This window comes from Homo sapiens, chromosome 9 (assembly GCF_000001405.40).
Source record: "Homo sapiens chromosome 9, GRCh38.p14 Primary Assembly".
Classification (NCBI taxonomy): domain Eukaryota; kingdom Metazoa; phylum Chordata; class Mammalia; order Primates; family Hominidae; genus Homo; species Homo sapiens.
Genome location: NC_000009.12, coordinates 38,044,840 through 38,060,338, shown reverse-complemented (window position 1 = coordinate 38,060,338; position 15,499 = coordinate 38,044,840). Strand labels below are relative to the sequence as shown.

Below are 15,499 nucleotides of genomic sequence, written 5' to 3'. Positions count from 1 at the left end.
GCTCGGCGTGTTGGCACATGTCTGTAATCCCAGCTACTTGGGAGGCTGAGGTGGGAGAATTGCTTGAACCCGGGAGGCAGAGGTTGTAGTGAGCCGAGATCAGGCCACTGCACTCCAGCCTGGGCACCAAAGCGAGACACTATCTCAAAAAATAATAATAATAATAATAAAGTCAGACAGCCAGTAAGTGGCAGAGATGAGATGTGAAGCCAGATCTAGCATCTGTTTGTAACCACTGTGCCATACTACCTCAAGCTGCACAATCCCATGCCTGAATTTGCTTTATCATCTCTGCCTTATTTGTGGCTAGACTTACTCTTTGTAAAATGTCCCCTCTGTTGGCATGGTAGAAGTGACTGATTCCAACATTTATGTAAGTATTCCACAGCTTAAAGGGCACTTTCACACCGGTAATTTGTTTGCTTCTCAGAGCCACTCTGCGAGGAATGGGCTGTAATCTCCCCTTTGCAGATGGAGAAACAGAGGCTCATGGGGAGGAGTGCATTCTTCCCTGCCTCACAGCAGAGGCAGAGCTGGTGGCCAGTACCTGCTGTGTGTGTTGACCTTGTGTTGAGGCCAGTGCCCTTTGTGCCGGGGTGGTGTGGAGGTGGCGTGGCCGAATCTGGAGTCTACAGGAAGGGTGACAGCCTGATTGATTTCCGCTTCTTCCCGTGTTTTGATTCTGAAACACTTTGCTGAGACCATTAAGGAGCATCGACAGAGGACCTTGCTTCCACAATGGAATTTTCCTTCTCTTCCTGTTTGGTATTTTCCAGTAATATTTCTATTAATGTTTCACTTTCAGCGGCACTAACTTCCTGAGAGTTTGAGCTTTCCTAACTCCCGAGGCAGGAAGAACTGAATTTTCCTCTAAATCATTCAGTTCCTTTCCAGTTTCTCCAAGGGGAGCTGTCTCTGGATTTCCCATTATGCTGTAAAGGAAGGATCTTGGAGGTGGGTCCAGGGGATGGAGAGAGAATTAGAGCCCCACTGAGTGACTCAGGCCCAGTGTTTTCCAAGCAACACGTAATACTCCTGGTCAGAAAGGGGCTTCCCACGGCCGAGGAGGGGAGAGTGACTCGACAGGTGGGTGGGTGGGTGGGGGAAGCGAATTCCCTGGCCCACTGCCGGGCCTTGACTTACAGGCTGGACCCAGAGTTCCCAGGGGGCTGTGAGAGCCCATGCCAAGTCCTTTCTTCTCATTCATTCATTCATTCATTCAGTAGACACTGTTGAGAGCCTGCTGTGTGTTGGGGATTGTTCTGTTTAGGTGCTGGGAATAGAGCCATGAACAAAGCAGATAAGAGTCTATGCTCCCCTGAGCTTGCTCTCTCATGACAGGAGTCAAGTAAATACAGTTACGTCAGGGGTGGGGACTGTGGAGGAAAGTAAAGAGGAATAAAGAGGCGATGGCAAACGTGAATTTGGGGTGGGATGCTTTTTATGTGGGTGCTCAGAGAGGGCCTTGCTAAGAGTTGTGATGGCATGAACCACCCCGCTCTCCAAGGACGGCATTCCAGGCAGAGGGAAGAAGAACAGTGCAGAAGCCTGAGGCAGTAGCATGCCTCGGTGGTTCAGGGAGCAATGCAGAGATCTATATGACTGAGCGGAGCAGGTGAGGAGGAGGTATGAAGGCAGCTGAGGGCTGAGAGGTGTGGGGCAGAGGATGTCGGAACTCACAAGCATTGAAGAGGCCTTCCTCGCTAACCCTGCATGAGATGGGGGCAGCAGAGGGTTCTGAGCAGAGAAGCCAGCCACGCATCTGACTTGGGTTTTTAAAGGGTGGCTCTGGAGATTCTAGAGCAGAGAGGGCACCAGCAGGCAGACCACTGAAAGCAGGGCTTTGACAGCAGGTGATGAGAAGAGGGGCAGATTCCAGCGTGTGGTGAAATTGGGCCTCAGGATTTCCTGGCAGAGATGAGGGAGAAGAGCCAGGATGGCTGCAGGGTTTTGGCCCCGAGCAGCCACTGATGCAGTAGATTCAGCAGCTGAGGCCTAGGGGTCCAGAGTGGGACACTCTCTGCCCTCTGGGGTCAGGAGGTGCCTGAGATCCCAGGGAAGAAATGGATGGCCCTCTGTCTGGGTCTGTGGGAGGAAATGGGGAAAACCGTCAGGAAGAGGAGGCCTCATGGGAGATGGGTCCAGAGGAAGGTGTGGATGGGGCATCCAAGACAGAGGGGATCCCATCTACAGTGGCTGAGATTGGAAGGGGAACTCTGCTGTGTGCAGTCAGGGGTGGCCAGAGCTTGGGGCATGCCATGGTATATTTGCCAGGGATAGAGGAAGGTGGCAAAGGGCCAGGCCCTGCCTGCCACTAGTCTGAAATTGCCCCAGTACTCCTAATTCAAAAGAGGCCACCTGCTATGTTGCATGGCTGAGCTGGGCACCACAGGGCGGTGGAGACAGTGCAGCGATTAAGTCTCCAGGGACAGGGCTGGAGCAGCCACTGTTTTGCTCAGCAGAACATTTCATTGCTGGCTGCTTCTGATAGGAAGTGGTCCCTTATATTGTGGGTTCACTGGTACATGGGCTATGGGGAGAATGCAAACAGAACTAGGAGGAATGAGAGTCTGCAGGTTTCTCCAGGCCACGGCTAAATTCTAAAAATGAAAATCATCAGAAAGTTCTTAACAGTGAAACTTTACCATCTTGTTGGATGTGCACTCCCAGAAAGCCAGACAGCCCGGTAATCCCTCTGGTGCATTCCAAAGCCACACATGTGATCGGGGACTGCATGGCATTTGCGGAATGGCATGGTGCCTACCTGCCCTGTGTGGGGCCCTTGCAAGTTGGCTGTGCTCTGAGCCGGTTCCTCAGAAAGGGACCAGCTTGCATTTTGAGCTGTAGTTCCACATTTATCTTTTGACTAACCTTTTACCCCTTATAACAAAATTAAGACAAGTTTGGTATAGAAAATAATAAGTAAGCAAAACTCAGAAACCAACCCTAATTCCGTAATTCAAAGAAACCACCATTAACATTTTACTACTTTTTCATCTAGCCATTTTTCATTGCATATATATATATGTTTATTTTTCTCGCCACAAAAATTAAGTGATACCGTCTATATTTTTTTAAACGTAAAGACATGGAAAGATGTCTACAATATCTTAAATATTTAACAACTGTAATTTAATAGCTGCATTGTATTCTGTTCACATGTTGGGCTTTTCCTCGTTTTCACCAATTTAACAGTGCCGTAATGAACATCTTTGTAACTTAATTCTTTGCATAGGTCTGTGATTATTTCCTTGGGGTTGATTCTGAGAATTGTTGGATAAGACAGTAAAAAGTCTGATACATACTTTCAAATTGTGTTCTAGAAAGACCTTACAAGTTGACACCTGTTTTACCCTTCTCACACAATCCTCGGAATTCTAATGCAAGTTAGTTGCATTTGCAGTTTCCTGGATTCCTGGTGCAAATGTGTGTTGACCATTTGTGTTGCTTTTCCAAAACTGTTTACTTTATCATCTGTTCATCCTTTTCTGCTGCAGGGTTTTGTCTGTTGATTTGTAAGAACTCTTTGTGGATTAACAATAGCAGCCCCTTACCTGCCATTTGGGTTGCAGAACATTTTTTAAAGTTTGTAATTTGCCTTTTGGTTCTATATGTGGCAATTGTTGTTGGTTACAATGAATTGTTTTCTATTTAATCAGTCTCCACCTTCATGATTTCTTGAGCATGCTGCTGAGAAAAGTCTTCCCATGTGGGCGCGGTGGCTCACGCCTATAATCCCAGTACTTTGGGAGACTGAGGCGGGTGGATCACATGAGCTCAGGATTCAAGACCAGCCTGGGCAGCATGGCAAAAACCTGTCTCTACTAAAAATACAGAAAATTACCTGTGTGTGGTGGCATCCCCCTGTAGTCCCAGCTACTTTAGAGGCTGAGGCACGAGAATTGCTTGAACCCAGGAGACAGAGGTTGCAGTGAACTGAGATTGCGCCAGTGTATTCCAGCCTGGAAGACAGAGCAAGACTCTGTCTCAAAAAAACAAAGTCTTCCCTACTGTAGTATTTATATTTTCTTCTAATACTTTGATGGATTTTTTTTTTACATTAAAATTTCCATCCCCCTAGAGTTTGATTTCATTGTATGAGGTATGGTTGTCATCTTATTTTCCAAATGGCTAGTGTGTGTCTGGGTACCCTGTATTGCTTGCTCATGATCTTCAGGTACCTTTTGAGACTTAAATATTTTGACTCCATCTTGCCCTGACAGTGTTTAGGTCTCATCAGTGATTATGATAATGATGATGAAGGCCTGTCTTTATAAAATGACAACTTTCTTCTGCAGATACCCATGCGCTTATTACACATTCAACTCCTGACATCTGAGGAAAGTAACTAGGTATTAACTAGGGCTTCATCTTTACCCACCACAGCAGAATGCCAAACCTGCTGTGGTGTGTGGGATGTGGCCAAGACAGCCTTGTCTTGCCTCTGGTGGAGTCGGCATCCTCCTCTGATACCGGAGGCTGGGCTGTCTAGGTGTATTTGAGGCAATCACGGTGGTCTGCCCTGCCCATGTGGCTTGAGCCAAGCGAGTGTTTCAGTTTTCACAGAGTGGGTGTAGCGTTCAGTCATCCAACCATATTCCAGCACTGGGCTGAGTCCTATGGAACAATCAGAGACAGTTAAGCCTGGGTGCTCTAGCTGAGAGCCCAGGAGTGGGTATTGGAGAGGGAGGAATTCATTGCCAGCATAGGCAGGCAGGTAAATGACTCCCTGAGCAGACAAGAGAAGCATTTGGGCGAGGTGGGTATGGCTGGTGGGAGAGTTCAGAATGGGTAGGATTTGAAGGTGTGGCCTGTGTGGGCCACACGATTTTGGTCACTCAAATTTTTTAACACCTGCAAAAAGTTCAGGTCACCAGGTTCTTCCTCTGCACCCCACCGTTTTCGGCCCACCATCAACCCAGGTGTCCCGTGTCTTCAATCAGTGAGAGATTTTTTTCCAGACCACTATAGCCTGTTTCTCTTTTTCTGGTTCATGCTGGTGTTAGGAAAATCCATCCTGCAGTGTTTGCTGTGAGGTTGATGACATAAACAAATTGGTATTAAAGGAAAAGATTAAGTCGTGGAGTGTTCATGGGGAATAAATCCAGGAAAAATGCAGATTTCTGAACACTGCCGAACATGACTGTGGTTCTAAGAGGCTGAAGGTGTCTGCCTAACTCACATCACGTCACTGAACCCAGGACCAGTCCTGGCAGCACAGTAAAATTACCTGCATAGCATTTTACAAATTTCAGTTTCCTAGGCTCCCATCCCAGATTAATTAATTTCTGGAGATACAGCCAGGGCATCAGTATTTTTTGAAGATCCCAGATGATTGTGATCTGCAGCCAAGGTAGAAAGCTGCTATCCTTGACCTTTGGTGTCCCAGAGAGCTGGGGATCACCCCATCCAACTCTCTTCCATCCATGCTGAAAACTTCCAATGTTGAGATTTGTTACCTTTTGTCCGGCCACCTTTGCACAGCTGGGGTTGACTTTTTTTTTATTTTAAATGTTTACTCTAGCTTTTTGAGCACCTGGTATTCACAGGAACTCGTTGGTTGAACTCTTTTTCTTTGTAGATTCTACTACTGTCTTGGTTTGACTCTCTGAGGTCAAGTAGAACCAGTCTAACCTTGCTTCTCTCATATAAGGACCCTCAGATGTGCGATTGTATCTTCAAAGGCAGAGAGAAGCTGCAGGCTATAACACTGCCCACAGAGCCAGATTCCCAGCCAGGACCCCAGCTGCTAAGGGCAAGGACCCTTTGATGTCACAACTGTGGAGGTCTTGATGGAGCCCAAGTCTAGGAGCTTCCTGTGGGCATGAAGTAATAGGCTAGAGCAGGTTCCCGGTGGGTGAGTTGAGGTTGGCACTGAGGTGTTAACTGTGCAGGCATGTGACTGGATGGGGAACAAGGTCAGATTCCCAGGTGGATTTGGGGAGTCTCAGCAAAGGAGCTGTCAGGAGTGGATTCCAGAGGAGTAGGTAGCAAGTGGAGCAGAGGTTGCGTGGCTGAAAGCAGTGTGATGTCAGGGTTGGGCATTCCCTGTCCTGCTTCTTGGCCCCTTGTGGGGGCTAGCTGACAAGGTCATACACCACAGGAGCCCAGGGCTGTTGCTCCAGACACAGCAGAACCCAAGTGTGTCCCACTGTGGTGGCATGAAACACTCACTGGCTTTAGGGTCGGAAGTCCAGAGCTCAAATCCTAGCCCTGGTGCTTGGAAGCTTAGTAACTTGGGACAAGTGATAAAATTCTCTGGGCCTGGAATGCCCCATCTTCTATGTAGGTAGAATAGTAACAGATGGTGTTTCCTGACCATTCACTCTGTGTCACCATAGGTAACACTTTCAGTACTTGATCCTTAACTGTGTGTCTTTGAGGTGTTGCTGTGAGAATCCCCATTTTACAGATGGTAAGGCATTTGGGAGATGAGGTTCTGGGGAAGTACATTGGGTCGTTGTGAGGATTAAATAAAATCATTTGTTGAAATGGCTGAGCACAATGCCTAGCATTTAGGAAGAGCTTTATGAATGTTTTATATTATTTTGGCCTGTGTGTCTTGGGCCTCAGTCCAGCTTTGAACTTTGGGCTTTCTATAGCCACAGTAAAGTCAGTGGGGTTGCCCTGTCTGGGCTGATGATGTGGTCCTCAGAGAGTGAACCTATCCTTATCTTGGTGGGTCTGCTTACGGTTAAGCTTTACCTGGGATCACCACTCTGTTCTAAGAGCTTGAGGTATGTTAGCTCACTGATTCCCACAACACCCCATAGGAGGCAAGTTCTATTAAGAGTCCCATTCTGGCTGGGTGTGGTGGCTCACACCTGTAATCCCAGCACTTTGGGAGACTGGGGTGGGCGGATCACGAGGTCAGGAGATGTAGACCATCCTGGCTAACATGGTGAAACCCCATCTCTACTGAAAATACAAAAAATTAGCTGGGCGTGGTGGCAAGCGCCTGTAGTCCCAGCTACTCAGGAGGCTGAGGCAGGAGAATTGCTTGAACCCGGGAGGTGGAGGTTGCAGTGAGCTGAGATCGCACCACTGTACTCCAGCCTCGGTAACAGAGAGTGACTCCATCTCAAAAAAAAAAAGAGTCTGATTTTGCAGATGGAGAAACTGAGGCAAACAAGTTTGTATCTTATCGTAGATGACACTGCTAGTAGTGGGTAGAGCTGGAGCTGGGGTTCCAGCCAGGCAGTCAGTCTATGTTACACAGATGCAAGGGACAGTGACGGGTCAGCTCTGTGTCAGCTGATGGCCATTTATCAGCTGAATAGGTCTCTACTGTCATAGAAACCACAGGTCTCTACTGTCGATAAAGTGTCTAGTTTGGGCCAGGTACTCCCCATAGGCACATTCTCAGGACAATGCTGCCAAAGGGGCATCAAGGAAAGCTTCATGGAGGAGGCAGCATGGGAGCTGGGCCTTCATGCATAAGGAGGATCTGGATATTTAGAGATTGGTGGATGTGAGGAGGACATCCCGGGAGAGGGGCCCTCTGAATGGTCCCTAGTAGATGATGGAGGAGAAGCCAGGTGTGGGAAGGCCTTCAGGGCCAGGCCACAGTTTGGTCTTTATTCTGTGGGTAAAGAAAGGTAGTGGAGGGAGTGAGTGAAAGGGTCAGCCTCATGCTTTAGGGACACCTGTATGTCTGTAGCCTGAGGGGATAGTTAGAAAGGAGTGGGGGTGGGGAGGCTCTAAGCTGGGCATGGAGGTGGGGACCCAGTTAGGAGGACATGGAATGCTTTAGGCAGAGGCACCAAGGGCCTCAAATACTGCAACTGACTGCTCAGGCAGCTCTCAGATGACACTGGGCAATCGAGAGAAATTGACCGAGCGCTTGTCAGGAGGATAGATTTTTCTGTCAATAGCCGAAACGTCCTCTGTGGGAGTTTGTGAGTTACTCAGTCCATCAGAGCATTTGTCCACATTCTGTCAGAGCCGGACGGAACATGTGCTGGGGTCACGGAGTCTGAGCCGGGAATGGCTCTGCTGGTTGGAGAGTTGGGCGGAGGAGGCCTTGTACAAGTCAGACTGCTTGTTTCTGCTGAAACATGGAGCAGGAAAGGACAGAGCTACCAAGCAGCCCATCCATGAGGAAAGACGTGGGGGACTAAGGAGATGGGGAGGGGGCTGTGTGTGTTCTGGGGGTGGACAGAGCTAGTCACCTGCCCTTGAGATGGAGCTCTCCCATCTGATGGCAGCACCTCGTGGAGTTAGAGACATTCCAGGATGTCCAGGCAAATGATGGCAGTTAGAAAGAAGCCATGTAAAGTTGCTGGTGTCGTAGTTGAAGTCTTCAGAAGACAGCAGTGCAAGAAGGGAAAGGGAAAACCAGGGCTCTGAGCCAACGCGGGATGCTGATCTTCAGAGGACGTCCTTGCAGGGAGAAGCTCTTCGAAAAACAGTAAGTGCTCAGCCTCCTTTAGGTCCCCAGAGGGAAAGAAATGTTAGCCACGATGAAGATGTTTGCTGGGCTCAGTCAAAGAGCCCCTTGAAGATCCCTGGACAATTCCTTACACATTCACCACTCCATCAGAGGGCCACTCTGACCGGCAGAGCTCGCTTTACAGGCTCAGAAGAAACGCTTTGTAAAGATCTAGGAATAATGTTGCCATCAGTCAGCTCCTGCTTGCCGGGCTTCTGTGGGGCTCTGGATCATCTGAAAGCCATCTGTGGTGTGACTGTGAAGTGACGAGATGGTGGGAGTTGGTGTCATCACTTCCTCATCACCCACAGGACAGCTGAGAACGCTGTCACAGCCTGGATGATATTCCCAGGCCTTGGGCCTGAAGGTTGTCAAAGTGCAGACACTCAACCCGGGCATGCTTTGAGGTCTCGCCTACTTGCCCTTTGTCCCTCTGCCTTGAATTTTTTTTTTTTTTTTTTTTTTTTAGACGGAGTCTCACTCTGTCACCAGGTTGGAGTGCAGTGTCGCGATCTTGGCTCACTGCAACCTCTGACTCCCTGGTTCAGGCGATTCTCCTGCCTCAGCCTCCCGAGTAGCTGAGATTACAGGCATGCGCCACCATGCCCAGCTAAATTTTTGTTATTTTTTAGTAGAGACAGGGTTTCACCATGTTGGCCAGGATGGTCGCGATCTCCTGACCTCGTGATCTGCCCGCCTCGCCTTCCAAAGTGCTGGGATTACAGGCATGAGCCACCCTGCCTGGCCTGCCTTGAATTTTGTGTGCAACTTCGACTCAGATTCTTTGTCACCTGCAAACTAGGGTAGAAGTGGGCCTGGTTTTGAAAAGGCAGAGAAACTTTTCTTTATCCAGGCAAACTGTTTTGAGGAATCCTTACAGATGATTAGACTTGAAGCCTCCAGTGGGAGCAAAAATTGTGACAATTCAGAGGATGCTAAATAAGCAGTTTGTAGTAAAAGATTGTAGTCAGTGGTTGAGGAGTGAAGGCACGTTCTTTTTTGTGTGTTTTCTCCCATCACCCCCAAATTAGAAATCTCTCTTTTTTTTTGTATCTGCCTGGCCTTTTTGGGAATGATTATCCTTGAAAATATCTTACCCTTTGCTTTTGATGGTTTCTTCTGATTACATCTGTTTTCTACAGACTAGCAGACACTTAAGAGTATTGGATTTCTTAACATTCGGCAGCTTCTAGTTCCATATATATTCAAGCATTTCTTACTCTGAAAGTAAATTTCAGTTGTATACATTCATTCATTTTGAGAGTCATTTTATGCTTGGACATTTCTGACGACCACCTTCATAGTTATGGGGAAGGGACTTTAGATCTGTGAAGGGTACTGAAACAAAACATATATTTTGTTCATACGTTCTTGTGTCTTCCCAGACTTTTCTTTAAAAAAAAATCCCAAAAAGGGAAATCAGGGCTTCCCTTGCAGAAGGAGGCCTGGCTGCCTTAAAATATCCATATATTTGAATTTCAAAGGTAGGTTTGAATGTGAAATCTAAGGTAACCTTGCATTCATAGTCTAAATTCAGAGTGAGCAAATTAGATTGTCATTATTAAGTCTATTCCTTAGACTTAATTGGGGCATGGCATTTTCTGCCGCTTAGTTCTTTAGTGGTAAAAGGGAACCTTTCCCATTGCTGAATAAAAGACTACTTGAGCCCTTTTGCTGAAGGACTGTGACATTTCCCTGCATTGGTTCTGGGGTTGGATGGTCAAGACATTGACAGGTGGATTTAAGATTACAGGGTGAGACTTGGGGACCATAGCAAGCTGTGTTTCAGATCATCATGCATTCAATTTTTAAATGTTGGCTGGGCGCAGTGGCTTACGCCTGTAATCCCAGCACTTTGGGAGGCCAAGACAGGAGGATCACTTGAGGTCAGGAGTTCGAGACCAACCTGACCAACATGGTGAAACCTCGTCTTTACAAAAATTAGCCGGGTGTGGTGGCACATGCCTGTAATCCCAGCTACTTGGTAGGTTGAGGCAGGAGAATCACTTGAATCCGGGAGGCGGAGGTTGCAGTGAGCCAAGATTGCACCACTGCACTCCAGCCTGGGCAACAAGAGCAAGACTCTGTCTCCAAAAAAAAAAAAAAAAGTACCCATGGTACCTGCTGAAATACTGGCCTGCCTAGGGGCCTATGAGGGAAGCAGTGTGGGCCAGTGTTAGTGCCCAGGGTTAGTCTGGGTTCAGGGTCAGACTGTGACTGTGGGCAAGTCACTTGACCTCTCTGAGCCTGTTTCCTTTTTTTTTTTTTTTTTGCTTTGTTTTTTGTTTGTTTGTTTTTTTGAGACTGAGTCTTGCTGTGTTGCCCAGGCTGGAGTGCAGTGGTGCGATAGCTCACTGCAACCTCTGCCTCCTGGGTTCAAGCGATTCTTCTGTCTCAGCCTCCCAAGTAGCTGGGATTACAGGCGCGCCTCACCGCACCCAGCCAATTTTTGCATTCTTTTAGTAGAGATGGGCTTTTGCCATGTTGGCTAGGCTGGTTTCAAACTCCTGACCTCAGGGGATCTGCCCACCTCAGCCTCCCAAAGTGCTGGGATTACAGGCATGAGCCACCACACCCATCTGAGCCTGTTTTCAGTGAGGATATTGGCTGGGCTCTCACACCTGTAATCCCAGCACTTTGGGAGGCCGAGGCAGGAGGATCGCTTGAGCCCAGCTTGGGCAACATAGGGAGACCGCATCTCTACAAAATAAATTTAAAAATTAGCCAAGTGTGGTGGCATGCATCTGTGGTCTCAGTTAATTGGGAGGCTGAGGTAGCAGGATCACTTAAGTCTGGGAGGTTACGGCTGCAGTGAGCCGAGATGGCGCTACTGCACTCCAGTCTAGGTGACAGAGCGAGACTCTGTCTCAAAAATAAATAAAAAGGATGTTCGTTTCTGTCTTGAGATGAGCTGAGAAGGTGCCTGTGAATAGACTGTATTGTTGCCCTAAAAATGTTGTAGACTTGGTTTTAGGTCAAAAAGAGTGACTGGAAACAGTGAGAGAGCAACATGGAGAGGCTTAAAAGTTGTTACCCTGGGAACCCAGTGGTGCCCTCCTAGGGAAAAGCACCTAAAACATTTGGCAAAACCAAAAACTGGAAATTACCTAAATATCCAGCCATGGGAAGTGGCTAACGTGTGGCCTAAAGTGAGAGGGAATACAGCCAACAAAAGCTGAGTTGAGTAACTCCACTGCAATATCGTTAAGATGGAAAACACTCAACAATGTAATACTTTTTCATTTTTTGTATGTGTATTTATCATTATTATTTTGAGGCAGGGCCTTGCTATGTCACCCAGGCTAGAGTGCAACAGTGCCATCATAGCTCACAGCAACCTCCACCTCAAGGGCTGAAGAGATCCTCCAGACTCAGCCTCCCACGTAGCTGGGACTACAGGCACTCACCACCATGCCCAGCTAATTTAAAAATTTTATGTAGAGTCAGGCTCTCACTGTGCTGCCCAGGCTGATCTCAAACTCAAGTGATCCTCCCACCTCAGTTCCCAAAGTGCTAGGATTACTGGCATGAGCTGCTGCAACTGGCCAGAAGTAATACTTTTTTAAACGCAGGATATAAAAAATGATGAATATTTGTATTCTTTTCCAATTACTGCATTCCCACCGACATATGTAGAAAAAAGACTGGAAGGAAATCGACCAAAATGTATACACTGGTTATCGCTGGAAGGTTGGAATATTTTACAGTTTTTAAAAACAAATGCAAATCATTTAATTACTATTGGAAATTTTTTTGAAGTGGTAACATTGCAAGCACAACGTGAGGAGGGGGATGAGAAGGTGAGGTAAGGGAGCACAGGCTCTCCACCTCCCAGCAGAGTTTTTGCTGGGGCCATCTGAATGAGTTGTTGAACTTCAAAGCCGCTGAGTGTCTCATTGTGTTGGAATGCTGGCGATGAGGATCACAGGAAGTGGTGACAAGCCCTTTGTTATATAAGCTCACCAGGCTTGCTCATTGGTGCCAGCTTTGGCCCTTAGTGTTCGATCGGGACTTTATCTGTCTGTGTCCGGGGCCACAGCGTTAGCTCGGGCAAGGACCTGTGCGGGAACTGCATAGTCAGGCACAGGAAGCTGCAACTCACACCCTTGTTTGCTTAACACCCACTGGCGCATTGGGCTATTCCATGAAAGGAGAAAGGACAAAGTGGAGGGATTTACTGGCGCTATTCCTGACCTGTAAAGATGGGGGATTTTCCCTTGCCTCTTTGGAAGAAATCTGTCTCACATCCTCCAAAAGCAAGAGCAACCTGCTTTTTGATCTGCTGCTGTTTCTCAGTTCCTGTTAGTTCTGTGTTTATAATTGTGGTCCTGCTGAAGGCATTAGCCAAGAGGGGTAGGAATGTTGCAGTTCCAGAGCCAGATTGCAGTTTTCCCCTCTGTTAACTTCCCTGTTGGAGGCAGGCAGGGCCATTCCTCACACAGGACAGGTGCTCAGTGAAGCCTTGCAGTCTCCAGTTTTCTGCACCGAAGGGGAGGTGTGTGTACACACTTGTGGGTAAGAAGATTGGACCGCTGCAACTAGAAAATAGCTCAGCCTTGTGCCTGAAGTGATTAGCTGCTTTCAGTTGAGCACTTACTGTATGCTATACTCTGCTGGGTGCTTCAGGTACATCTCTCATTGGAGTCCTCACAGGAATTGTGTAAGGAAGATACTATTTTTCATACAAGTAAGCAGACTTGGAGAGGTCAGGGGACATACCCAAGGCCTGCCAAACTTCTCTGTTTTTATTGACATTCCTGTGTTATCTGGATACCAGGGACTGGACTCTTGGAGAACATGAACTCATTTTTCACTCATCCCCCACAGCTGGCACTGAACCTGAAACACTGGCCACTTTGGGTACGTTGAACCTTGAGGTGCCATGGCTAGGTGATGTTGGCAAGGCCCCTCCCCTCCCTGGGCCACAGTGTCTGCATTTGTAAAAAGGCCAGGTGTTCTTTTCTCTCACCAGGCCCCATCTTTTCCAAAAACTTCCCAGGACAGCCCTTAACAGCCCTCTCCAGACCGCAGGTTCCTGTGGAATGTGGTTTGTCTTGTAAGAGGTAGTCATAAGCCACAAGCGACGAAGGGATTTTTACTGTCAGGCCTGTCAGGCCGAGGCCCAAACATTATATGACTGTTGTCCCCAATTAATGAGACACAAGAAACCAAGTTGTGCAACTTTACAATGAAGCCACATCTCATTGCGATTTCAATTCCTTCCGTGTTAGAGGCTTGCGTCCTGCCCCTGGCAAGTTTGTATGTTTCATTGCTTGGCGTGATCACCCACCTTTTCACCTAAATTGGTTTGGAAAAGCCGTGGGCAGTTTCTAGAAATTAAATCCACTCCAGAGTATGGAAGATTGACCACCCAAGATGTTCAGAGGAATGTGGTGTCTCCTGAGGGCCCTACTCGGAGAAGGAGGACCCGGGGGGGCTTCGAGCATCAGTATATTGCCCTCAGGGCAACTGCTTGTTCTTGTTTGCCTGTATTCAATTCTTATGTGTCTAACACAGAGGTCACAAACTTTTTCTGTAAAGGGCCAAATAGTATTTCAGGCTTTGCAGCAACACGGTTTCTGTTGCCTCTGTTCACTTCTTCAGGGAGCCACAGACAATATATAAATGAGCAGGCCTGGCCACGTTCAGCAATGCTTTACTTACAGAAGTGAAGCTTTGCCCAACCCTGGCTGAAAACATTAGGTGCCTCTTTTCTTTTTTTTTCTTATCTCGGCTCACTGCAACTTCCGCCTCCCGGTTTTGAGCGATTCTCCCACCTCAGCCTCCTGAATAGCTGGGATTACAGGCACACACCACCACGCCTGGCTAATTTTCGTATTTTTAGTAGACACAGGGTTTCATCATGTTGGCCAGGCTGGTCTTGAACTCCTGACCTCAGGTGATCCGCCCTCCTCTGCCTCCCAAAGTGCTAGGATTACAGGCGTGAGCCACCTGTGCCTGGTGCCTCTTTTCATAATCATGACCCATGTTAACTTGTAATCTCTGTGTTTTATACATACCCATTTTGACCTGATTGTTTTGACCCCACTCCCTCTTGGTTTCTTTCAAGCTGTCTCTGGCCTAGACACGCTAGAAGATCTTTAATCAATCTTTACATTGCACAGAAGTTGCCCACGTTCTCATGTCAAAAAACATACGTCTTTTTAAAATGCACCGTTTTTATTGTACCTGTGTTGTGCTGTGTAGGATCTCACGTTGTATAGTCAGGTTCATTACAAAGTGGTAGGAAATTGATATGTTGTCAAATTGTTTATTGTTGTGGCTTTGTTTTTTTTGGAGACAGGGTCTCACTCTGTTGTCCAGGCTGAAGCGCAGTGGCACAATCCCGGCTCACTGCGACCTCTACCTCCCAGATTCAAGAGATTCTCCTGCCTTAGCCTCCCGAGTAGCTGGGATTACAGGTGCGCGCCACCTATCGGCTAATTTTTATATTTTTAGTAGAGACTTGGGGGTGGGGGGGGTCTCACCATGTTGACCAAGCTGGTCTCGAACTCCTGGCCTCAAGTGATCCACCCACCTCAGCCTCCCAGAGTGCTGGGATTACAGGCGTGAGCCACCGCACCTGGTCGTTGTGGCTTTTACAAATGTTACTAGAAGAAAAGTTCCATACCTGATATCCCATGTGGCTGTAGTCTTGACCCTTTTGATTTGTCCTTTATCTTCTGTCTTCCAAAAGTGAGTCTGGACGTGTCATCATTTAGACACTACCCATGGCTTCTATCATGTCCAGACTCATAGCTTGACATTCCAGCTGACCCTTACCTCTTGGAAAGGCTTCTTTTTACTCCATCCCTTCCATGACAGCCAGCTGGGAACCTCTGACCTTGTGCCAGGATGCAAGGCTCACCTGTATGCCTCTGTGTCTTCACTTGTGTGTCACACCTTTATCCTCCTCATCCTCTTAAGTTCAGCTCAGCTGTCCTGCCATTTGGGAGGCTTCCTGACCTCCCACCCCTCCCTCCTCTGTGTACACATGTCCACACCTCTGGCGGAAGCAGTCACACCATGTCATGGCTCCTGGAGAGCCACAGTGAGAGCCCTGCACCT

General features: G+C 47.7%; 1 protein-coding gene across 1 annotated transcript in view, besides 7 other annotated features; it reads left to right on the top strand.

The window, feature by feature from the left end:
- Positions 1 to 15,499, top strand: part of SHB (SH2 domain containing adaptor protein B) — a 153,330-nt gene that overhangs the window by 8,889 nt on the left and 128,942 nt on the right. The gene's annotated exons all lie outside the window — the stretch shown is intronic.
- Positions 246 to 1,445: an enhancer, noted in NCBI's record as "CDK7 strongly-dependent group 2 enhancer chr9:38058891-38060090 (GRCh37/hg19 assembly coordinates)". NCBI's record gives its function as "activates an origin of replication core promoter dependent on BRD2, BRD4, P300/CBP, MED14 and CDK7 cofactors, with strong dependence on CDK7, by STARR-seq in HCT116 cells {active_cell/tissue: HCT116}" and the evidence as "EXISTENCE:reporter gene assay evidence [ECO:0000049][PMID:35650434]".
- Positions 10,416 to 11,409: an enhancer, noted in NCBI's record as "H3K27ac hESC enhancer chr9:38048927-38049920 (GRCh37/hg19 assembly coordinates)". NCBI's record gives its function as "activates a minimal SCP1, AML or CMV promoter by ChIP-STARR-seq in primed H9 embryonic stem cells {active_cell/tissue: H9 hESC(primed)}" and the evidence as "EXISTENCE:reporter gene assay evidence [ECO:0000049][PMID:30033119]".
- Positions 11,410 to 12,403: an enhancer, noted in NCBI's record as "OCT4-NANOG-H3K27ac hESC enhancer chr9:38047933-38048926 (GRCh37/hg19 assembly coordinates)". NCBI's record gives its function as "activates a minimal SCP1, AML or CMV promoter by ChIP-STARR-seq in naive H9 embryonic stem cells {active_cell/tissue: H9 hESC(naive)}" and the evidence as "EXISTENCE:reporter gene assay evidence [ECO:0000049][PMID:30033119]".
- Positions 11,410 to 13,397: a biological region, named in NCBI's record as "P300/CBP strongly-dependent group 1 enhancer GRCh37_chr9:38047203-38048402".
- Positions 11,934 to 13,133: an enhancer, noted in NCBI's record as "P300/CBP strongly-dependent group 1 enhancer chr9:38047203-38048402 (GRCh37/hg19 assembly coordinates)". NCBI's record gives its function as "activates an origin of replication core promoter dependent on BRD2, BRD4, P300/CBP, MED14 and CDK7 cofactors, with strong dependence on P300/CBP, by STARR-seq in HCT116 cells {active_cell/tissue: HCT116}" and the evidence as "EXISTENCE:reporter gene assay evidence [ECO:0000049][PMID:35650434]".
- Positions 12,193 to 12,487: an enhancer, noted in NCBI's record as "tiled region #8558; HepG2 Activating non-DNase unmatched - State 5:Enh". NCBI's record gives its function as "activates a minimal TATA promoter and a strong SV40 promoter by Sharpr-MPRA in HepG2 cells {active_cell/tissue: HepG2}" and the evidence as "EXISTENCE:reporter gene assay evidence [ECO:0000049][PMID:27701403]".
- Positions 12,404 to 13,397: an enhancer, noted in NCBI's record as "OCT4-NANOG-H3K27ac-H3K4me1 hESC enhancer chr9:38046939-38047932 (GRCh37/hg19 assembly coordinates)". NCBI's record gives its function as "activates a minimal SCP1, AML or CMV promoter by ChIP-STARR-seq in naive H9 embryonic stem cells {active_cell/tissue: H9 hESC(naive)}" and the evidence as "EXISTENCE:reporter gene assay evidence [ECO:0000049][PMID:30033119]".